The 25,122-nt window shown below is 47.9% G+C and overlaps 1 protein-coding gene across 26 annotated transcripts in view; it reads right to left on the bottom strand.

Annotated features, from left to right (window-relative positions):
- The window catches only part of ITSN1 (intersectin 1), a 257,361-nt gene that overhangs the window by 48,125 nt on the left and 184,114 nt on the right, over window positions 1-25,122 (bottom strand). For 8 of the 26 annotated variants that reach the window (XM_017028428.2, NM_003024.3, XM_017028431.3 and 5 more), the window contains 4 exons: window positions 24,874-24,919; window positions 21,992-22,113; window positions 17,313-17,430; window positions 15,105-15,296 (listed from right to left, as the gene is read on the bottom strand). In XM_017028428.2, coding sequence (XP_016883917.1) covers window positions 15,105-15,296; window positions 17,313-17,430; window positions 21,992-22,113; window positions 24,874-24,919 — 478 coding nt within the window. Of the gene's footprint in view, window positions 1-13,238; window positions 14,751-15,104; window positions 15,297-17,312; window positions 17,431-21,991; window positions 22,114-24,873; window positions 24,920-25,122 lie in introns of those variants that run through there. The other 18 variants (XM_047440945.1, NM_001001132.2, NM_001331009.2 and 15 more) reach the window with 4 other exon arrangements.

Raw genomic sequence — 25,122 nt, 5'->3', positions numbered from 1 at the left:
AAAGAAATTAAAATAGCAAGCATTAAAAAAAGAGCCCAGGCCGGGTGCAGTGGCTCACACCTGTAATCCCAGCACTTTGGGAGGCTGAGGCAGGTGGATCACTTGAGGTCAGGAGTTCAAGACCAGCCTGGCCAACATGGTGAAACCTCATCTCTACTAAAAATACAAAAATTAGCTGGGCATGGTGACAGGCACCTGTAATCCCAGCTACTCGGGAGGCTGAGGCAGGAGAATCGCTTGAACCCAGGAGGTGGAGGTTGCAGTGAGCTGAGGTCGCACCACTGCACTCCAGCCTGGGTGACAGAGCGAGACTCTGTCTCAAAAAAAAAAGAAAAAAAAGAAAAGAAAAAAGAGCCCGTGTGCTGTGCTGATGGTGGAGACAGTAGGACCTCAGAAGGGAGCAACTCCTCGTGCTAAGGGGAGGCTTCCTCGAGGGGCCCTCCTGAGGCTGGGTCTCCATATGGCTGGGGAGGTCAAGACCATACACTGGGGGCTATGGGCACCAGCAAGAGCAAGCCTTCACCCAGGTGCCAGGTCGACGCGGAGACACTGCAAGAGATAAGGTGGAAAGGTGGGAAGGGCCAGATGACAGGGTGACGGGGATTGTGATGCCAGAACAAATGTTCAGAAACAACATGTGGAAGGACCAGGAGAGAGAGCAATAAGCAAGCCCGGGCGATGGCTTTCATCTTTAAGGGAAAGGATCTACCTTTCCCTTTTGTCTCTGGGGACATTCAGCCCAAATCCTCTGGCTCAATGGCCCCGGATCAGCAGGGTCTATGCTACTTGGGCTCCTGGAGGTCCCATCTATACTGCAGGCTTCTCCCCATGGACCAAGTCTCTCCTGCCAGGTGAGCCCATGCACCCCAGAGCTGCACTGGCTTCTCCTGGGCAAATTAATCTAACTGCACTCCCTTCAACACCCTGGGCCTCTCCTGGTAGGTGTGGGGTGGCCTGTCGTGTAGGAAAAGCAGATGAAGCCACATGGATATGACGTGAAGAAAGTTCTCTGGCCAAACACTATGTCCCTTTACCCTGCAGCTGATGTCTGAAACCCCAGCGTTCTCCAAGCCATGAAGTTGTGTACTCCTGCTGTGAAGCAGCATCCACGCTCGGCCCCGGGGTTCAGTGAGAAGGAGGCAGTCCGGGTCCTTGTCCTTTGGGAGCCTGCTGGTTGCTAGACCTGGGAGTCCCAGGCCAACTTGGATCCTTGCTGAGTTGCAGGCACTTTGCACAGGGCATCACTCCAAGCGGTTATCAGTCCTTGAGACCTCGGAGTTGCAAATCCTCAAGATGCGATTTTTAATGGGGTCTGGAGAAGCCGGTGGGCACAGAGGTGAGAGGGGAAGGAATGCCCCCAAAGGCACCAGAGACCCTCGTGGGTCCAGCAGAGCTCAGGTATCCCACCCAGCCTGTCCTGGTGACACATCTTGCCCCATGTAGCTGGGTCCTCGGGAGGCTTCCATTCAGATGTAACCCAGATGCTTAAAAGTGCCAATGTAACTCCAAATAAGCTTTGTTTTCTCCCAAGGAGGGGAATCCAGTCCACAGGGGTTGCCAGGCAGTTTAATTACTGCTGAGAAGTGGTGAAGATCAAATTCTTCTCAGGGATAAATCATCTCTTAATTTTCCATAAATATGCACATTTCAGAGAGTGAAAGGGTGTATCATTCATAGCTTCATAATGGGCACTGGAATTCCTGGCACAGCTTTACATCCTCTGTGGTAGGTATGCTTCAGCTCATTCCAGGCCCCTTCTATGTCCCACCCCTGACTTCCTGCTCTCACTGTGCCCTCTCCTGTAGTATGAGTAGCTCCTGTTAATAAGTTTTTTGGGTACAAAGGCAGACTGGCATGTTATAATGAAAGTACAAATGCATTTTTATTGGAATATGAAGGAGGAGCCTGTTGGTTTTTGTTTTATTTTTAAGTTTTGTGGGTACATTGTAGGTGTATATATTTATGGCGCACCTGAGCTATTTTGGTACAGGGATGCAATGTGTAATAATCACATCATAAGAATGGGGTATCCGTCCCCTCAAGCATTTATCCTTTGTGTTACAAACAATCCAATTACACTGTTTTAGTTATTTTTAAATGTACAATTAAATTACTATTGTAGTTGCTCTGTTGTGGTATCAAATACTAGGTCTTTTTTTTTTTTTTTTTTTGAGACAGAGTCTTGCTCTGTTGCCCAGGCTAGAGTGCAATGGTGCAATCTTGGCTCACTGCAGTTTCCACCTCCCAGGATCAAGCAATTCTCGTGCCTCAGCCTCCCGAGTAGCTGGGATTACAGGCATGCGCCACCACGCCCAGCTAATATTTCTATTTTTAATAGAGACAGGGTTTCACCATGTTGGCCAGGCTGGTCTTCAACTCCTGGCCTCAAGTGATCCGTCTGCCTTGGCCTCCCAAAGTGTTGGGATTACAGGCATGAGCCACTGTGCCCAGCCAAATACTAGGGTTTTTCTTGTTGTTGTTGTTCTTGTTTTTGTTATTTAGACAGAGTCTTGCTCTGTTACCCAGGCTGGAGTGCAGTGGCGCAATCTCAGCTCACTGCAACCTCCGCCTCCTGAGTTCAAGTGATTCTCCTGCCTCAGCCTCCCAAGTAGCTGGGACAAGCACATGCCACCACGCCCAGCTAATTTTTGTATTTTTAGTAGAGACGGGGTTTCACCATGTTGGCCGGGCTGGTCTCAAACTCCTGACTTCAGGTGATCCGCCCGCCTCGGCCTCCCAAAGTGCTGGGATTACAGGCGTGAGCCACCACACTCGGCCAAATACTAGGTCTAATTCAAGGGGGCCTGTTGTTTTGATGAGAAGGATTTGAAAATATTTAGCAGGGGAGGAGGAATTTGAGTTGGACTTCAGCAGGCTAATATCGGTGGTGAGGGGGCAGGCAGCGGTGAGGGATTCAAATGGAGGGAGGAAGAATGGGAGTAAATAGAAATTGGAGTCGGGGGCGTGGAGCCCTGGGGGCAGGTGCAGAGGAGGGAAGCAGTCTCTGCGTGATGGTGAGTCATGGGCGTTCAGGTGGAACGCCACTCAGAGCTCACAATGCCGGGTGCTGCACATGTGCAAACTCATTGAATCCTCACCAGGAATCCTATGCGGTAGCTATACTGTTGTTATCCCCCACTGAACAGACAGGGAAACTGAGGCACAGGGCGGGTAAGTCAGTTGATAAATGGCAGAGGGAGTCTGACCCTAGAGCTCATGCTCTTCCCCGGAGGCCTCTTCCTCCTCGCTGGTGCGCTAATCTGCTCAGGCGACCATAACAAAGGCCACAGACCCAGCCGCTTAAACAACATATACTTCCTCATGGTTCTAAAGATACAAAGTCCAAGATCAAGGTGACAACAGGGCTGGTTCCTCCTGAGGCCTCTCTCCTCGGCAGGGTCTTTCCTCTGTGCATGCACATCTCCAGCGTCTGTGTGTCCACATTTCCCCCTCTTATTAAGAGCACCCATCAGATGGAATTAGGGCTCACCCTAACAGCCTCGTGTTCACTTCATCACCTCTTTAAAGAATTTATCTCCAAACGAAGTCATATTCTGATGTCCTGGGCTTCAACGTGTGAATCTGAGGGACACAGTTCAGCCCTAACAGGTGGGGAAGTCCAGTCGAGGAGGCGCTGGCTGCGGAGCTGGGAAGGTCTTGGCTGTGTTTCAGGGGATCAGTGCGGCAGCTGTGTGTGGCATGGACGGGGCTGTGGCCCTGGAGTTTGGCCACACACTGGGGTCACGCAAGGAGTTTTTAAAAATCCCAGTGCCCCTGCTGTACCCCAGACCAACTAAACCGGACTGGCTGGAGTGGGGTCCAGGCATCTGTTATCGGCAAAGCTCCCGTGTGGTTCCCATGTACAGCCAGGAGATCAGAGGAAAGATGGCCTGGAAATCAAGACACCTGGCGCGAAAAGCGGGTGGGATTTGGAAACTGATCCGTCCAGGCCCAGGGATCATGAGAGCTGCCACAACTGCTGAGCTGAATCCAGCCCATGGCAGGTCACTCAAGCCATTGTCCAAGAGGCTCAATGGCTGTAACCACAGAACGCCATCTCTCTGAGCCCAGAGACCATCTGACACTCCACTCTTCGGGCCCTCTGAAGCTGCACCTCAGGCCACGCTGCCACCACTGACCCCCAGCCATGGGCTATGGCTTCAAAGGCTACTCTCTCTGCTCAACGCCCTCATCTTATGAATGGAACAGCAGATCCCAGCGATGTACGGTGACCTTCCCTATCAAGAATAAAACCTATGCTGGTGATATGTCAGGAAATGGAATCAGGAGGAAACCACCGGCTTTTCAAAGGGCAGGCCTGAGGGTGGTCCTTAAGCTTTTCTCTCTCAGCAGATGCCTGCAAGATCAGGCTGAGAGGTTGTGCTTGTCCTTGGAGCGCAGGGCTGGTGGGGACTGGTGGGGGATGGCAGTGGCCAGTCTAGGCCAAGGCAGCCAGGCCTTCTCTGAAAATGACCCTTGGCTGACCGGTTCCTGGACAGCCCCAGCCCACAGGAAGCTCTGGAGGCCAGACCAGCTCTGAGCTGTCCAGAGGGGCAGGTGGACTTCTCATCTCAATGGAACTTTCTTCAGAAGGGTCTAAGCACCCATAGCCTGCTCCCTGGGGTCGGTCTCTCCTAACTTAACAAACTGATCCCATAGGAACCCAAGAGGCAACCTGAGCCATGACATTTCCTGCTCATTCACAGCGGCTGCATAGATCCGCAGGGGCCCCTACTTTTGTGGGGCTTCCATTTTGGTAGGGGAGACAGAAAACCAAATACATACATAAATAGACAGTACTGAAGGTGGTTATAAGAACGATGAAGAACAATCCTTATGCTTCATAAGCTCACTTCCTGTTTTGGGGTCTTTTCATGAGAACTTATTTTGTAAACGATGGTGCCTCGTTTACAATTTCCTTTCCTCCTGGGGAGGGAAACTCAAGCACAGGTTTTGTGCTGGGTTCCAGGCTACACGCAGCAGGGAGAATGAACACTGTGACGTGTCCTGCCCCTCACAGCCTAGCTGGGGAGGAAGGACCAAGCCTGTGGAACAACAGGCAGGTAGAAGGGCAGCCCAGGACTGTCTGCCACAGCACTTCCTGAGCAACTGGCAAGAGTGAGGCGCCATGGGGATATGCACGTGTGGGAGGTAGGCCCTGCCCTCTGGTTTGTAATCAGCAGGGAGGCAGGGTGCCCTGCAATAAGACAACTACACAAGGCAAGGTACCATCGCTGTTCATTAGTGTTGTTACCATGGAGGTCTTAATGGGGATGTAACAAACCACAAGATTTGGGCCCTGCCTCCAAGGAGCTCACAGTCTAACTGGGGAGGTAAGAGTATCTATGTATTTCTGTATCAGCCTTTCTATCTAGTCATCTTTCTGTGTGATAAGGAATTCAGAAAAGAGCTGAGTTGTTACAAGTTAATGGAGCAGGAGAGGTGGCAGCGAAATCGGGAGAGGTGAAGGCAGGTGGGCAGGAAAGGCAGGGGAGGTGGGGCAAAGGCATTTGCAGCTGGGGCCTACCAGTGGCTTAAATGAGACTCAAGAATTCTGGGGTGGTGGTGGAGGCTGACATGATGGAGGGAAGGTTCTGGGTTGGGTGAGACTGGACAGCAGAGTGAGGCTAGATGATGAAGGAAGTCCCTGGACCCAAGCACCACCTCCCTATTGGACATGTGGGCACACAAGATCCCTGGGAGGTAGACAAGGGGGGTTGAGTCATTCAGTCTCTAAGGCTGGGGGAGGCTCCTTGCCCACACTGCCTGCCTGCACCCCCATCCCTTCCTGCTGACGTGGGCCCACGATGCCACAGTGGGCACCAGATGTGGGTTCTGACTCTCTCTGAGGAGGGACTCCCATGATGAAAATGGACCTTTCCATAAAGTGGTTTGGAGGGTCAAAGGGGATGTTTTCAACAGGGCCATTTGGAAAGCCATGGGGGCAACAAAAGCCTGGACTTTCGTGACGGGTCATGACGGGGACTCAAAGGTGGCAGAAGAAAGAACACTGAGCAGGCTCCTGTAGAGCAGCTCCGTAACCAGTCAGCCCAGTTTCCCCTCTGCAAGCACAGAAGAATGCATGGGTTAGGGAAGGCTTCCTCGAGGAGGTGACGACTGAGCCGTGCTAAAATTCAGCACAAATAGGAATAAATGAGGAGAGGGAAGGTTAGAGGGCTGGAGAAGGGGGCAGATCAGGCAGGGTTTGCAGACCAAGTAGATTCGGGTCTTTTATCTCGGAGGACCGGGAATCCCCTGGATGATTTTAAGCATAAGAAGTGATGTTTTTAGAATAGCTCTCTGCCTGCAGCGTGGGGGAAGCTGGAAGGAGAGAGTGGGTGCAGAGAGACCAGGTCGAAGACTCAGTCATCCTTCTGTGAGGGGCAGGAGCAGCTCCTTCAGCCCTGGCCTTTGCACTTGCTGTCCCTTGGGCCGAGAAAGCTCCTCCCCCTTGATCTTTGGACGTGCCTCCCCCGCAGCCAGGTCTCCATCCCCCCTCTTCAGAGAGCTTTCTCGGGCCATCCTCTCGGCTGGATCCCTGGCCCCCAGTCATGCTCTGTGCCACCCCATCCTTCACTAGCTGGAACCCCCACTCATTTCTCTGCTGCTTGTCACCTGCTCCTGAAAGTTCTAGGCATCTCCTCTGCTTGTGTTCTGCTGAGCACGGCCCTATGACCAGGCCGGTTCCATGTACCTCAGCCATGACTCTCAGTGGGCAGCGGGAGAGGTAAACAGAGTAGACTGGGTCCCTCCTGGGCTCATGGGCCACACAGCAGGAGGCGGGGAGAGGAGAAGACAGGATGCAGGATGGAAGGGGAGGCGGACAGGACGGGCAGATGTGCTTCTGCCCCCTAGAGAATGGGATGGAGGGAGGAATCCCACTGGATACCAAGTCAGTGGAGGGCTGTTACTGAGGATTCGGCCGTGTGGGGTCTTGTCACGGGGCCTCAGGACTCCAAGGTAACACTCCAGAGAGGAAAGAGGCATCCCTGGCCTGGTCCCCTCTGCTGGGGCGGACTGCAGGCTCGCTCTCCTGGGGGGCCTAACAAACAGAGTGGAACTGCAGGTCTGGATATTGAGAGGCATCTTGGGGGTGCACACAGTGGGCAGGGAGGGAATTAAGCATGCCTGGGGCAGCTGCTCTGGAGACAGCGCTTTGGGGCAGCATTCCCCAGCAGCCCACGCCCCTTATCTAAGCTGGATGATTGCTTAAAAAATCCAGCAGCCGGCATGTCTAGGGGGCTGAACGTTCCATTCTTTGCTGGCAAGAGAACACAAGGCCACAGAATGCCGTGATGAGAAATAAAGGACCCAGTGACTCAATGCATTTGTGACAGGTTTATTGTGGAGCGCTGCATGGGCCTGCCAACACAGTCCAGACGTGACATTTAAAAGCCCTGCACATTCCATTTTCCCTGGTGGCCTCCCCACCGTCGACCGTGTGAAACACAGGCAGCTTGTCCACATCAACCAAGAGTCTGCTGAGTAGGCTCTGGTCTTTGGTCCAGAGGTCTCTGCACATTGCAGGAGTGCAGCGAAGGCGTTTAAAAAGCTGCTTGCTTCCACCGGTGGGCCTCCTGCTATCAGGAAGGGGGCCAGGGTTCGTGCACGGATTGGTAGGGCAAATCTTGCAATGAGATAGCTCAAAGTTTTTAGGGAAGCTGTCCAATCTTTTCTCTCTGAAATTCCTAATCTATAAAAGCATACTTTCTAAAAGGTCTTAAAAATGCACACAACCTACCTGCTGTTTTGGTTTAATGAAAGAAGGCACTTGATTGGATTCCATGATGCTCACTGACCAGGCACAAATGCCTTTTCTCTCCAATAAAAACAACAGCAACAAAGCTATTATTCTCTGCTTATTTTCTGCTAGATGTCATCATTATCTCTCCATATGTAAATGAGGAAACTGAAGCACAAAGAGGTTACATAACTTGCCCAAGATCACACCACTAGTAAGTAGCAGAGCTGGGATTTGAACCCGTGCTCTGAGCCACCATCCTGGATTGCTCCTTAGCCTCTATAAGGTCCCCAGATGCAGTTATGTGGATGCTCCGTCTGAATCACTATCTTCCTATAGGCAGGTGGTCTACAGGGAAATAGAATGTTCCAAAATGATGAGAGAAATGGAGTAAAATATTAGGCTGAACTTGCAGAGAAGCCGTGTTGTTATATACAGCACCATGTTTTTCTGGAGGCCAGGAATGAAAATTGGGAAGCTACAGCAGCACATGTTCTTACATTTGGCTCAGACTGAGGGTGTCTTAAGTAAGCCTGAGCGCCTGGCAAACTCGCCCAGTGGAGGAGAGAAGGACAAAGGGCTGGGGCGGGTCAGCATGAAGCTTGTGCGTTGAAAATGTGTTGGAATCCTTACCAATGGCTCCAAACTCCCATGGTAACCCCACCAGTGAGGAAATCACATGAGGCAAGAGGGGCCCCTTCCCGATCTTTCCAAAGATGCAGCCACCAGTTCTGTGGAGGCAGGAGCTCTGGGGCTATTATGGACACACATGTCCATAGATCTGTGCATCAAATGGTACGCCTAGAACGAGGACTTGTCGGAATTTGAAAAGCTGACTTGAGAACATCACTGTGTTTCCCGAGACCCTCAGTGCCCTCAGCTGTATAGGTGCAGGCCTTATGCTCAATGTTCTCTAAGATCTCGACTTCACTGAATAATCCGCAGAGAACATCCTGCGCTCCACCGCAGCCCAGGCCTTTCCTCACTTTCTGGGTGGGGCCTGGGAAGCAACGCAGTGGATCAGCGTGCATGAGTGTGTGGGGACAGGTATCAGAAGGGGACAGGACAGCATAGGAAATGGGAGGGGAAAGCAGGGGCGTCAGGGGTTTCATCCTCTCACTGAGGGAAACAGCGTCCTTGATGAAAACTGGCAGATCAAAAGTGTTCTCCCCTCTCCTGGGTCAGAGTTCAGAGAAACGGCATCAAGAGAAGGAACTGTTCAGCTTTTAAAGACATGATAGTCTGAGTCAAAATAAGGAACATCTCTTTTGAGGCTTGCAACATCACTCAGAAGCGACGTGCCAAGCAGATGTGGAAATAGCAGCTGTCAGCCTCTGCCAGAATCTTCTATACAGCGGTATTTATCTGCCTTCTGGCTGTACCCTGAACTCACCGTTTGACCTACTGTCACCAAGCTACAGATGTAGGCAGTTAAGTCACCTGAAAGTTGCTGCTCACTGCCTGTCACACACACACACACACACACACACACACACACACCGTTGACATCATAAAACAACAGCATGGTAGCTGGTAGCTTCTAAGAGGTGGTATGCCCAACATTAAGTTGCACGGACACTATATATATCTTATAGCTGATGCTCATTTTTTATAAATGAAACATTTTTGAGAATCAGGTCATACAACTTAAAAATGCCTGGGGAGCTTTTAATTTAAAGAATAGATTCTTCCTGAGAGGCTATGGAGCCCTCTGAAATGGAATAGCTAACTAGACGTCAGGAGACACTCTGGAAGCCTGGTTTTTCCTATGTGGGGTTTTCGTAAAGAAGTGCCCAAGAGTGGCCGGGCGCGGTGGCTCACGCCTGTAATCCCAGCACTTTGGGAGGCCGAGGCAGGCGGATCACAAGGTCAGGAGATCGAGACCATCCTGGCTAACACAGTGAAACCCCATCTCTAGTACAAAAAAATTAGCGAGGCATGGTGGCGGGCACCTGTAGTCCCAGCTACTGGGGAGGCTGAGGCAGAGCTTGCAGTGAGCCGAGATTGCACCACTGTACTCCAACCTGGGTGAACCGTCTCAAAAAAAAAAAAAAAAAAGTGCCCAAGAGAACTCTGGCTGAAGCGGAACATTCACATTAAGGCTACTGTGATCTTGGACTTCACTACGTCTCCCTATCCTACCAGACCCCGAATACCAGACATTTCAAAGAAGGAGCTATTTTTCCTTGCATTTTTGGGACCATTGGCATCCAATGTCATTTCCATAAAAATTCTCTTGGGTATTTTTGGAACTAAAGAGAATGAATAGGATTAATGAAGCAGGACTGCGATTTGCTGTGCCCGTTGCCCAACTGTTACCTGGGTGGGGTGTTGCCCCCGCCCTGTGCTGGAGTGGAGACTTGGCTCAGACAACGGTCCCTGGTCCTCAGCCTCCTTCTTAGACCAAATGAGCAAGAGACTCCAGGAGCAGCCCCTTCCAAGGCCACTGTTGTTTTTGGGAAGCTCACATCTAAAGGAAAAGGAAACTGGAGAGACAGCATGGTCTCCTCTCTGAGGGTGATGTGGTCTGTGTCAAAAGCTGAGACTGGTGTTTTCTATAGTCACCGGTTGATTTCATTCACTCATTCAATAGGCATTTTTTTTTAACCTAACCTACCATGTGCCAGGTGATGATATATTGTACTAGGTTGAATTATAGATTGCTGTTTTTATAGGTAAGAATTGACAATTTCATATGGTTAAACCTAATATTTAGAGGGTTTTCCTAAGCTAGTGTTACTATTTCTTCTGATGGCATCGCTGAAAGCATAGATAACCCAATCGTTACTATTTGCGGCCTGGGTCTGCCCAGATTCCTTTCCAGAAACAGGGAAGATACCAGTTTCTACCATGCATGTAATGGTTAGATATTTTGTGACTTAACATAGGGCCGAGTTACTGCTTTAGATCGGCTTCTCCCAGACACCCTTTTATGCAGAGGCAGTCTGAGGCCTGGGCCACTTGGGGAACTCAACCACCATGGCTCCCCAACTCTGCAGGCCTGCTCTGCAGTGTGGAGAGGCAGCCGGCCAGAGGAGAGTGATTCGTAAGTGCACAATGAAGACAATCTCATTTGGACTCATCTTGTCTAATGCTACTGGAGCAAAACTGTACCCAAAGTTCACTTGCAAATATATTTACACAGACCAATATGAAATTAAATGATTTAATAATCAGTTTAAAAAACAAAACAAAACAGACTGGGCACAGTGGCTCACGCCTGTAATCTCAGCACTTTGGGAGGCCGAGGTGGGTGGATCACCTGAAGTCAGGAGTTCAAGACCAGCCTGGCCAACATGGTGAAACCCCATCTCTACTAAAAATACAAAAAGTAAGCCAGGCACGGTGGCTCACACCTGTAATCCCAGTGCTTTGGGAGGCTGAGGCGGGTGGATCACTTGAGGTCAGGAGTTGGAGACCAGCCTGGCCAACATGGTGAAACCCTGTCTCTACCAAAAATACAAAATGCAGCCAGACCCACGTGCATGCCTGTAATCCCAGCTACTCAGGAGGCTGAGGCAGGAGAATCGCCTGTATCCGGGAGGTGGAGGTTGCAGTGAGCCGAGATCACGACACTGCACTCCAGCCTGGGTGACAGAGTAAGACTGTCTCAAAAAAAAAAATTAAAAAACAAAAAACAAATAGCTAAAGAACAAACAAACCAAAACCTGACACCTTTAAACTCTGAGGCCATAGGAGATACCTAGTATCCCTTCACTAATTTATTAGAAGAAAGATGCTTTCTTTCCCTTGTACTCAATTTTCTGTTAACCAGATTCTCTTGTGAATATGACTGAAGTAGTTTAATCTAGTACCAAAGTGCAGAGTATGGGGGATAATAAACAAGAATAAGATTTTGAAATATAAAACCAAGGTTCTGAGATACGTTTGATGCTGCAGATACACGACATGAGCTTAGGTGATTAAATTTATTCAACAGGAGTTACCGGGGCAGCCTTTCTGGTGGTGAATAACCAGGTGAACATTAACCACAGTGGCCAGTGGGGTGAGACCTGCGCTTCTCAACCTCAGCTCTGGTGACATCTGGGGCCAGATCATTCTTTGTTGCGGGGGACTGTCCTGTGCACTGCAGGATGAGGAGCAGCATCCCTGACTCTAACCATGAGACACCAGCAGCACTCCCACTGGCTGAGAATCATGGGGTCCAATGGATACAACCAAATGCAAACTCAATGATTTGTAGGGGAAAGCACAGCTTCCTGGGGAACAACCCATGTCAACTTCACAAAGCTGGAGGCAAGCCTGGGGAAATGGCCTACAGTGAGGGCGTGGGGCATCTGGAGTGAATTAGGTAGAGTGTTATGGAGTAGTACCCACCTTGACAACTGCATCCCTTCCAGCCAAACTCAAGACTGGAGAAGCAACACTGGCTTACACAGCTGAAGGGATCCTGGGGAAGAGATGGGACTTGCAGACTCAACCACTGCTCCACACGGGGGTGGCCTGGGGGACAGTGAGAAGGATCTCCCCGCCCACCCCTGGGCCTTTGCTTGTCCTGACAGCTCCATCTACAATAGCCACACCTCTTCCCCCACTCCATCTGGCTCCTCCCTCCTTACTCTTCAGGTCTCAGCTCAAATGGCACTCCCCGCCCCACCCCCTGAAGGTTCTCTGATCCTTGCCCTGCAGCCACCCTCCCCTGGCCCTGCCAGTCTGCTCAGTGGTGCCTCATATCCAAACTTCTAGTGCAGAACTTGTCACCTTGTCACACACATACCGTGCATATTTATATGGATTGCAGGAGTTTGGTTTTCTGTTTGTTCCTTCCATTACAATATGAACTCCATGAAGACAGGGACTCTGTTTCCACGGAGTACCACACTCCTCCCAGAAGCCAATGGGGCACCCAACTCATGGTAGACATCCCCCCCACCAAATATCTGCTGAATTGAGGAAGGAAACCACTTTTCCACTGAATGGCAGGAGAGGTCCAATAAGTGAAGCTCATGAGGATGGAATCAAGCATGTGGTCATTGTAGCAAACAGTGGCATCAATGTGGACGCTGGTTTATTTCTGCAAAGTGTGCCAGGCAGAAGCCGATCCCAGACAACGTGGGGCATGTGCAAGTTTCTGTCTTTACCCACATAATTTTGGGGGTGTTCACCAGTACATTACGATACATCTTTTGGACAAATGGTTTGTACCCTGAGCCAAATCACACACCCTCAATGTGTCGACAACTTATATCAAAAGCCCGGTGAGACTGAACTGCTAAACTGGGTGGTAGAGTTCTATGTTTCGAAACTGGTATTATAAGGAATGATCATTTGCATATTGATCAGGGAAGGTGGAGAGCACGGGGAGAGGGAGGGCTGTTCAACAAAGACTCGGCGAGCCTCTGATAATGTCTGTATTTCAAAGAGCACAGGTCATGGTTGACACGTGGGCAGCAGGCCCATTGCTGACATCTAGTCTGCTTGGTTCCTCACCACCACTGCCAGGTTCCAACATCAAGAACACAGAGACATTTCCATCTAACTTTTGTATGAAGAATTTAATTATCTATACACGGAACTAATTCAAAAGGTTGTATTACAGTTGTTAAAGCCGCAGGTTTATATATTTATATATTTTACATTCATATCCGTGAAAATACTGAAGTGCAACTGAACGAGGAGGAGAGGTCCTCGCTCTCTGCACCATGTGAAAGGAGAAGGACCTCTACACGACCACCAGCACAGCCTCCCGACAGCGCCGGGAGAACGCGAGGGGAGTGAGCATTACAGAGTCTTTAGGAGGACAGCTAGATTGTGCTTGAGGCTCCCCCTGCCCCATTTTCTGTGCTGTGAGCAGCAGGCATTTTTATTGAGAGCTTCCAACTAGTGTTTAAAAGACAAACAGGGCTTCAGCTACAGCATATCTAACACACAAACGGACCATGAGCTCCATTTCATATTAATCTGTAGAAATTCCACAGTCTAGTTAAAAAATGTAAACATTGGAAATTAATTGCAGGGAGACTTCTATACATTCTTTCTTGTCAAGAAAATTACTTGTTCAAAATAGGTCATTCCATGAAAAGTAACTGGAATAAAACTTCATGTAACAGAGACTAAAAAGAGACTGTGGATATCGTTGATCGTAACGACCTCAGTGGTGTTGTCTACTGATTTTATGCTATGCAAACACGCAAAATTAAAAACCCCAAACAAAACACCAACTCAACCAGATAAATCTGAGACCGAACAAAAACACAGAGTGCTTTCTCATGTGGCTACAAGGTCACTGTGCAAAATAAAATTAAATGCAATATGATTAGAGCATCGTACAAGGTAATAGCTTTGCCATGGAAAGAACTAATTTCTTATGTACAGGATGTATTACATGCTCAACAAGGTACAGCTGATACACACAAACAAGCACAAACACCTTCGCTTTAATTGGGCTCATTCTATACGTCTTTAAAACAGAGATACTGAACTCCTCTGCACTTCTATGGTAAGGGGGAAAAGCCCCAAACTGCACAATTTAGTTGGTAACACTGGACAAAATGAAAAAATACATCAAGTCTCAGATTTATGGACATTTGGAACAATTTTTAATAGCACATGCAGCATTCCTTGATAGTGGGTCTTTTTGCAAAACCAAAATAGCAAAGAAGTCATTTATTTATTTTGTTTATTAAAAAGCTAAAATATATATTTAAAAATAATTTTAAAACTATTGAAAGCACCTGTGCAAAGGTGGGGGAAAGTCAATTTGAGTAACTAGGAAAGCCACAAAAGGACCCACTACCCTGTGTGTTTTTGTAATTTTTGCTCCTATCTCTGCAAGTAATAACTCAAACATTGCGATCACATGCAACTAAGGTAAAATGAGGTAAACTGCTCTGCAGTGAGTTCTTCTACTCAGAAGGCAGTAGGTGATCATGCTGGAAGTCACATGATCAAGGCTGCATCTCCCATCATCCCTCTGGGCAGTGATATGGGATAGTGGGTCTCTTTGAGGACTTTCAAGCCTGAGGGGGGGATGGACAACATATGATTCCTAGAAAAAGGAGGAAAACAACACATAAGCAAAACAAAACAATGAGCAAAATTCAAGCTAGGAAAATGAGTCAGGCATGTAAACAGCATGGTGCCAAAATGATTTAAAAAAAAAAAGGAAAAAGGAGGGAGGGGAGGGAGGGGACATGCTACAGAAGGAATGAAAATTAAAGAGAAATAAAACCCCATGAGATAAACTCTTGCATTACAGAAGGTCTTCAAAGAGACGACTGCGAATGCAGCAATGGTCTAGCTTTAAGTTCTGCAAACAAAGCTCAGCAGAATCAGAGCAATGCTGCATGTTTTACGGGAAGATACCAGAGAGGCGAGGCGACAGAGCCACCAGGGCACTTACATTGCTGGCTTGGGTCCATGTCTGTGGTCAGCTTCACATAATTGGATGGGAAGAGCCCCACTTGTCCATTGACTTCTCCTTTCCACCAGTCAGGGTCCTCCTTGTTGAGGACGTTGATGATCTGGCCCTTGTTGAAGGCCAGCTCATCGTCATTCTGCGCGGTGTAGTCGTACATCCCAATCACCTGGCACACTGCAGGAGACAGGGCTGGGTGAGCGGCTGCACACCCGCCGGAGAATGCACAACGGGTACCGCGCAGCCATTCAACATTCCCAGCTACTATTTCTGTCCTTTCAGAAGAGGGTGACAGTAGGTGGAACTGTTCTGTTGGGCTTTTTACAGTGTGGGCAATAAAGGTGAAGAATTAAAAACTAAGACAACAACAAAATTTTCACACTAAGTCTTTAGTTTTTATGATATCGTCCTCTTTTTCATGTTTACTTGTCAGCAGAAAATGTACAGTGCTAATCGAGGGCTTTCGTTTTGAGTGCAGCGGAACTCCTTCCTACTGCTGACTCTGGAAAGACCAGCCCAACCCCATCCTATCTTCTGCTGCACAGGACAGCTATGTATCATGGGGACTTTACTATCATTTTTCCTTTTTGGTTTAAAGTGGAAGGTAATCATCATTTGACCTCCAAGAATTCCAAATCTTAGGGAAAACTAAAACCAGTGATTTATTTATTTATTATTTATTTATTTGAGACAGAGCCTCGCTCTGTTGCCCACGCTGGAGTGCAGTGGCACGATCTCAGCTCACTGCAACCTCCACCTCCAGGGTTCAACCGATTCTCCTACCTCAGCCTCTTGAGTAGCTGGGATTACAGGCATGCACCACTACGCCTGGCTAATTTTTCTATTTTTAGTAGAGACGGGGTTTCACCATGTTGGCCAGGCTGGTCTCGAACTCCTGGCCTCAAGAGATCCGCCCGCCTCGGCCTCCCAAAGTGCTGGGATTACAGGCGCGAGCCACCATGCCAGGCCTAAAATCAGTGTTTCAAAAGATTTTTCTGCTGCTGTATCTTTGCATCTCAAAATGTTGTCCTGAAAGAAATCTCCACCCTCAAGAACAATTTTTCTTTTCTCATTTTCTCTCAAGCTTACAGGAGGTAAAATTGTTCTCATTCTTTGGCACTTCTACTTCAGATGAGTCTGCACCAACAGGTCACAGTCCCTATGAATCTTTCTTAACCAACCTATTAATAAATAGGTTTAGGCTTTTTAAATTCTCCAGCTAATTCAATCACTTCAGCAACTAATTTCAGCGGGCCTGAGGAAGGGGCTGTACATGGAAGTGGAGGGATACTGACACATCTCTCCAGGGGACAGCAAACCCTGCGGGAACCACATTCCTCAGCCTACACAAGGCCACAGCTCAAGCAAAGAGGCCCAGTGGGGACTGCGGCTCATCACAAAGTTTGCCCATCCTTTAATTTCTTGAGAAGGCTGCCAGTTTTTAATCTTATCTCACTGGGTACATACAGCACAGATATTTAACCACAAGGTATTGGAACAAAAATTCTACACTTTCCACAAAAGCCAACCAAGAATGATGGCTTAAAGACCTAAAGCAGAAATCTGCTCCCCCTGACCTCACCTCTCTCAGATCTTGCTGAAGCATCTCATTTGGTCCCTTCAATCAGAAAATAGCCAACTGGGCCAACTGCTGTGCTCTGTTCTTTTCCAGTCCTCCAGGAAAGTGAGTACAACATCCTGCCTGCCCAGCGAAGCCCCCTCTGCCCACAGTGAATGTCACAGGGGAGCTATTTTGGTCTTCAGTGAACACCACATTATAGCCCCCCAACCCCCGTGGCCCCCAGCTCCATCTCATGACCTACTGAGACCCCAGCCGTTTATTTTTGGGTGTCCCTTTCTGTCACCTCACCCCCTAGCCTAAACCCCAATTTAAATGGCTGGAAGGAAATCAAGAGGAAAATGTGGCCTTAATGCCACAGCATTCATGACTCCTGCAAGAAGAGCATTCCAACAAGGGTTCTGTTGTATCCAGCACAGAAAAGCCACTTAGATATCTGGTCCTTTTGAAAGACATATTCCATATCACATTAGTTGGGTGTCAGTCCCAGCAAGTACAGGAAGTGCTTTAAAGCACATGTGAAAAACAACCTAAGATATTTAATGAGAAAATCAAGTGGAAAAACTCAAGTGGCATGCAGACCATCTTCCAGTTAGAGATGCGAAACTCCTTACCTGCCGCTAATGCTGTTGACTTAGGTGGCTCTGTTGGAGTGATTTTGCTCGTCCCAGGGCTTAGAAGCTTTACATAATTAGCTGGGAACCAGCCTATCTGGCGCTTTTTCCCACGTGCCTAGTAAGAAAATAATTACATCAAACATTTTTAAAGGCGCATCTTTTATAATACAGCTCACTTTATAACAGAGCACTTATGTAAAGCTTACATATAACTGAAAAACAAATGACATTAACGGTAAAATCTATGGATTACTATGTCACAAAAGTAAAACACCATAGCTAAAAATTCAAATTGTGGCAATCACTGGTCAGCAAAGCCCAGAATGTTTTTGCTTCGGCTAGACTGTGTGGATCACAAAATTAAGATATACCATGGATTGCCTGGGACAGGAAATTCTACTCATGTAATGCTAGCACTCAGCTGTTAATTTCAGGTAATGTAGACATTATGGTTAATGCCAACACTGTATATGGGTTTTAGGAATAATAATAATAATAATAATAATGGCCACCAATACACACTGAGTACTTCTTTTTTTTTTTTTTTTTTGAGACGGAGTCTCGCTCTGTCACCCCGGCTGGAGTGCAGTGGCACGATCTCGGCTCACTGCAAGCTCCACCTCCCAGGTTCAGGCCATTCTCCTGCCTCAGCCTCCTGAGTAGCTGGGACTACAGGCACACCGCAACCATGCCCGGCTAATTTTGTTTTTGTATTTTTAGTAGAGACAGGGTTTCACCGTGTTAGCCAGGATGGTCTCGATCTCTTGACCTCGTAATCTGCACCCCTCGGCCTCCCAAAGTGCTGGGATTACAGGCGTGCGCCACCGCGCCCGGCCCTCACTGAGTACTTTTTATGAGCCAGGCCCTGTGCATTTATGCACACAATTCCAGAAGGATAATAGTATTATTATTCTCAATTTCCAGATGAAAAGTTGAGTGACAGCCCCAAGGCCACAGGCAGTTAGTGGCAAGCCAAGATGCACTCATGTGTCTGCATGCTCCTTTATGGGTAATATACATCCTTAGATGCAAGATGACATACATGCAGTACACACAGAACACAAGGAGACTCAATGTTACTTTCACAAACCCGTAGGCCCATGTGATGACTAAAGCCACATTTTTCACCGCCATTCCTTTCTCACTTAATTCAATCTGATTCAACACAAGACTCATTTATGGAGTGTTTCTGCACCATGCTGTTAGGAAGGGACAGTAGATGACTGTCCCTATAAACCCGGGGAGTTTATAACAAAGTTGGTGAGGCGGGTTTTGCAGTTAGGACACAATCCCATTAAAAGACTCGAGTTAGGGATCATGAGTCGGGCTTTGACTACCCTTCTGTACACCACCAAGAAAAGAGAACCCAAAACTACTTGTGCATACACACACATGCGTACACATACACACACACACGTCTAGAAACAAGGCTCTGATCGAAACAGCCACCTCTGGGGACAAGGTGGGAGGGAGACATTTATATCCCCTTGTAACTTTTGAATTTTAAACCATGTGACTATAATTACCTATTCCCAAAATAAGGAAATAAAACTAAAAGAAAAGAAAACTTCCACCACATTACCTCTGCCCTCCCACCTGCCAGTTTATCAAGAGGGATACCTCTAGGTCATTTTCAGAACACAGAGCAGGTTTCCCTTTCCTTGAGGTCTGATAGATTCCATCCCCTTGGCTCAAGGACTAAAGCTTTTATGTTTACAGTGAACCTGCCGATGACTGAAGCCATCTGGTTACAAATTTCCACGTTTATCTACCGAGTATACCACCATTCTGCTCGCAATGACACCACTCTTTCCCACACCTCTGCAGCACAGCACAGAACTCACTGGTGTTTCCTCATTTGTGGATCCACGCTGAGAGTCACTCTGGTGACAGCGCCAGGAGCTCTCCTGGGTCATGGCAACTCAGCCACTTTATTGAGAATCCTAAGAACCACTCAAACACTCACTTAAGCACAGTGCTAGAGGTGTGGGGACTGAAAAATACGGCTGCTGCCTCCAAGGTGCTAGTCAGCTACATGTGGAAGTAAGAAATGTGCACAGAAAGCAAAGTAATATAAAATACTAAAGAGTGGTGCCGGCACGGGGCCAGTGCTGGAGCTCAGGGGAGGGACACGGTGCTTCTGGTTGGGATGGTCACAGAGAGCTTCCAGAAGTGGGATCTCCCAGCTCTTGCGAAAGTGGAGAGGTTGGAGCTGGTTGGCCGCTGGTGAGAAATGTCATGAACAAAGGCAGCAAGGCAGGAGAGCAGGGGGTGCTGGTGTTTCAAAGAGGCTGGAGTGGAGACGCCATTGCTCAGCGGTAAGACGTGAGGCTGCACCGGGGAGAGGGGCCCCGCAGGAAGCCTTCCCCTGGCAGGCAAGGAGGACAGGCGATGGGAGTCTCCCACGTCTCCAGAACAGGACAGGGGCATGATGCTGGAAGGACCAATGGGTGATACAGCACAACTCTAAGCAGGGAGTGGGACCCGAGGGTCTAAGGAGGCCTCTCCCTCCCCAGCACAGGAGAAGGCATGCTGACAAAAAGGAGTGGATTTCCAGGCCTCCAGAGGTCAGATTCCTTAACCAGTGAGTAGTATCTGGACATTTATGGGTGTCCATCAGCAAACTCTCCAGGGAAAGTTTCATCTTTAGTTACACTCCAGGTTGTGCCTTCTATTCTGGCCAAGATGCGTTTCTTATATATTCAGCTCTCCAGTGTGGCTCTTCCTGTCCTGGCCTCAGGCTCACTTCCACAGAGTGGTAGACGGGACTGTGTGAGACCCGAGGCCTTCCCCAGCAAGGCCTTCTTCCTTCCTGCTCCTGCTGTTCCAACCTCCATTCCTCAGGAGCACCTGAGGGTCTGTCTTCCGTGGCTAGTCCACTGCATGGCAAAGGTTTCCTGCCTCCCTCTTCCCCCTCAAACTTACGTAGTTCCATACCGTCCTGCTCATGGGCAGACAAATACCAGCAGATTGGGTAAGTCAGTCTACAGGCCCACTAATAGCCACCAAAGGGTTCCCATGGGCCCCTTCCTCACAAAGCATTCCAGAAACCATTCCTTCCTATATCCGTTCAAGCCTTACTGAGGCCCCCCTGTGTTACGCAGAGGCCCACGTTCAACAAACGCCAGAGAGACGGACGGCTGCTGGAAAATTCAGTCCTTCCATAGGCCCCATGTGGGCAAGCCAGGGAGCAAGCCCTGTCCTTCACTAAGCTATGAAGCAGGTGGCCAGGTGCCCGCCTGGCAGTCTGAGGCTGATCTTCACTTTGGATGGGGGAGGATGCGGGGAGGGAGACACACTTTCTGTATGAAAAGTCAGCTGGCTTACCTCTCAAGTAACTGCTATAGTAGTAACTTTTTAAAGGCAACTTTTTATTTAGAAATGATTTCAAACTCAGGAAAATTGGCAAGAATAAGAAAAGCACACAGAACACCCATAGGCCCTTTACCCGAATTCACCTACTGTCAACACTTGGCAGCAGCTGCTCCCTCATTTGTGCGCGTTCTCCCTCCCTCCCCCCCCACCCTCTTCTCTGCAAGTTCTTTTTTTGATTCATCTGATTGCAAGTTGCTTACATCTTAACTCTACCCCTAAATACTTCAACACGTATCTCCTAAAAATAAGAATATTCTCTTATATAACCACAGTACAGTTATTGCTTTCTGTAAATTTTACACTGGTACAGTAATTTTGTCTAATGTAGTGTCCATAACCCAATTTTGTCCATTATCCCAAAAATGTCCTTGACAGCGTGGTTTTCTTTCACACAGGGTCTAGATACTGCACTGAGTCTAGATACTGCAGCCAGTCCTCACGCCTCTTTAGCCCCCTTTCGACAGGTTTTGTCTTTTATGATCCTGACGGTTTTGAAGACCAGTCACTCCCTCCCTCCTCCCTCCCGGCACAGCTGTACACACACCATGTCCTCTGGTCTCCCCACTGCTCATCATTCTGATCACCTCATTCAGGTCTTGTCCTAGTTCCCCACTCTATAATTATTGTGTTTTCCCCTGCAGATCATGAGTGATCTGTGGGGGTCACTTCAAGACCATGCACATTTTCTGCTCCTACTGAAAATTTTCTTGCAGATTGGGCATCCACCAATGATTCTAAGAAGTTTTACCATGAGAACTGCGTAACAGTAATCTTTTTAAAGCATCTTTGTCTCTGGAAATGAGACTTATAGGAAGTATCTGGAATGGTAAAATGTGTAAACAAGATGATATGATTAACAATACACACACACACACGTGCGCGCACACACACGGGAACTAAAAATACTGTGATGTATGGATGTGGCTTTGAATGCAAAGAAATCTGCTCTTGTGCCACACCTTCTAATACCACTGATGAAAAGCTCCACTCTCTAATGCCAAGGCACATAAGGATATGCAGGCATCCCTCGTCATATGAGTTCTCACTATGCCGACTCTATCTGAATTCAGGAATGGGAAAGATATGTTTTCGTATGCGCTCCTAGCTCTCAGAAATCTGTTACCGGCTGTCTGAAACTTAGGAACCAAACAAACACAGAAAATTTGGCATCTCTCACTATCCAAATACAGAATTTAGGTGGTGAGGGGTGGTTTGTACTTTACAATAAAATAGCGTCCCTTTGAGATTTTGTGTATTGAAACTTGGATGGAGAATTGTAAATAAACAAAAAAGACACTGACTTGCAGCTCTCCTTCCCACCATCCACCTGGGTTCTTTTTTCGGATCAAAATCAGCTGACCAGGGGCGAGAGTGAGCTGCTCGGGGCCGGTGGCGGTGTATGAGGCAATAACCTGGGCAATTTCTGAAAAACAAGATCAAACACGGCAGTGCACTGTTAAGAGTCAGCAGGAGAAAAGGCCAAGAAGATGCAGGCGCCTCCCAGGTTCACAGATGAACACATCAAAACCAATGTATTGAGCTGGATTTCTACCCAACGAGTAAGGCTCCCTGAATCGCCCGTTCCCAGAGCTACCAGGCAGACACGGCATTCAAGGGCCTGGCTGATCCTTGAGCCCTCAGTGGGCTGCAGACTCCCTTGTCATCCCGTGAAACTTACTTACCAACTTCCCTCCACGAAGTCCGCTCCTTGCCCACTCCTGGCACCTTCTGTCACACCCCTCCCATAATTACCCAGAATGCCCTGAGGCCAAGGGTGGGGCCTCATTCACCACCCACCCCAGCACAGTAGCACCCAATGGCTAAAGTGCTACTTTGAAGTGACTAAAGGACTCAATAGCTTTTCTAGCTGCCAAGTACAGTAGAAAGAGAAGCCCATTTTCCTCAGAAACCACTGGGAGCCCGGCAGGGGCTTATTTCTATGTTGTTGCTGCAGATTCTCACTCCCAACGACACAGCCTTCTTCTTTATGGCTCACATTTTGAGAGTGATCCCTGAATATCAGGTGCAAATCATGGCAGGGCAAATTTCTTTCTTTTTATTTCACGTTACAGGAGGGACCTGGAGTTAAGAAGGGAACTTTATGCAAAAACAATTCAGCACAGGGAAAAAAATGTGAACAGTTCTGTACTTTTCCTGAATGTGAAAAGTCCCATGGGAAAAACTCCAGCGGTACCACAGACCAGGCTCTGAAACACACCATTTCCACGGGCCCAGGAGACTGAGTATGAAGAGACAGAACCCTTCTCTGCCTGAGTTCTGGCTCATCTGCAACTACTGCTTTCTGAACTTCTAGAAGCAATAGAGAACAAACTGTTCTGCTCCTCTACCCTTGCTCTCCAAGTGTGGTTTGTGAACGAAAGGAGAAAAGAAGGAAAGAAGGACAGAAAAAAAAGAAGAAAGAGGGAATGAAGTAAAGAAGAATGGAAAGGAAGAACGCAAAAAGGTCTCATGTTCTGACGAGATTTCCTACTTTTCTACTCACTCCAGGGAACAAGTAAGACTCTGGCCCTTAAGCAAGCCGCTCTCATTCTGTTCTGCATGCTATCAGGGGTCGGCCACCAGGATAGAAGCACCTGGCGGTCATGGTGCAGGCCTGGCCCTGCCTGATGCTTTGCAGAGCTTGGGGCAAGCAAGAAAGGCCACAGCATGGTCTACTGGCCCAGCCTAGGCTCTGACTGGGAGCTCCAGCTGGGATGTCTACGCTGGGATGAGGACTCTCCTGCAACACACCAAAGACCAGCTCTTGGTTCCAAGAGTTTATGGTTTGGAGAAAGACCAAACTAGTGTCCTATTTGGCACTGGATGTTCTTGCTCCTCAAGGGACCTGGCATACGCAGCCAGCAATCTGCCCCAACATTCTCTGCAGTCTTTTGTGTCCTTTCTTGCTAGTTTCAGTGCAAAGCAAAGCCCACCTGGGCTTCATCTATGAAATATCTGGACCCTCTGGAATGACAAGTGTACAAAACTTAGAAAACTTACACTTAAAACGGAGATTTGGTGGGGTGGTCCAATGTATCTCCATCCACTGTATTTATCTGACTAAATACTCCATCCAGTATTTATCTGACTAAAATAAAATCCTAGACTACGTGAAATTTCCCTTCTTTTCCCTAGCCATGTAAGCCCAGTTGGAGCTGGGCACCAGACAGACAAGCAAATCCGTCTCTTGGCAATTCAGTGACTGTTTCAACCTATAATTTTCTAAGAATATGATAGCCAAAAAGTTCAAATGACCTAGACCAGGAAGACGTGCCACAGAAACCGTATTATTTCACATCCGCTTCTTTCTTTTCTTTTTCGTGCTATTTATAGCACATGTGATTTTACTGAAATAAACTAAAACACTTTGGATTCAGAGGCATGACTACAATTTTGTACCTTCAATGTGTACCGAGGAAAACCATCCTATGGCTTCTACATTAATGGGACCTACACTCTAATCTTCTCCATTGTTTGTGTCCTGGGAATGCATTGTTATGAAATGAAAAAGGGCTAACCAAGCCTAAGAGGAAGACGGAGAAGCAGCTGAGCCCATAATCCTACAGCTCCATGTATTATAACTTCCCAGCATCTTGCCTGAATTATTTATCTATATATTTATTTTATTTTATTTTATTTTATTTTTTGAGATAGAGTCTTGTTCTATCGCCCAGGCTGGAGTGAAGTGGAGCAACCTCGGCTCACTGCCACCTTGGCCTCCCGGGTTCAAGTGATTCCCCTGCCTCAGCCTCTCGAGTAGCTGGGATTACAGGTGTATGCCACTATGCCTGGCTAATTTTTCTATTTTTTGGTACAGACCGGGATTCCCCTGTTGGCCAGGCTGGTCTTAAACTCCTGACCTCAAATGATCCACCTGCCTCGGTCTCCAAAACTGCTGGGATTACAGGCATGAGCCACCGTGCCTGGCCTCACCTGAATTATTTCTCGACAACCCAAGAGAACATTCTGTTAGGTAACGTCTCCACTCTTCATGTGTGAAGCAACAGACAAATCTCATAACCAAGTAAAATTATTAATGGATTCCAAGGAAAGGACTTACTCTCACCACTCTTAGGAAAGATTCTTTTTATTTTAGGCTTCTGGCCCTAATACACAAAGATGGGGAGCAACTATCAATTACATTCAAAACATTGAAAAGTAAGCATCAGGGTTTGTAACTTACCAGGTTTTTTTCCTAAACTCCCTGTTTTCCCAGCAGTTCCAGAGCCCTTAAAACAGAGCAAAAGGTCTCATTTGCATGCTGAAGTTTTGATCATGCAACTTTAAAAACGATTAATGATGATACAAACCCGCTTGAGCCCCAAAGCCCCACTTTTCATTCTGGGAAAACATAGCACTGTATCACCTGACACAAGGATATAGATCAGGAAAACATGGAAAAAAATAATTAAAACATGTGGCTTTTACTCAT

This window comes from Homo sapiens, chromosome 21 (genome assembly GCF_000001405.40).
Source record: "Homo sapiens chromosome 21, GRCh38.p14 Primary Assembly".
In the NCBI taxonomy this organism is placed as follows: domain Eukaryota; kingdom Metazoa; phylum Chordata; class Mammalia; order Primates; family Hominidae; genus Homo; species Homo sapiens.
This window is presented reverse-complemented; position numbering and strand designations above follow the sequence as displayed.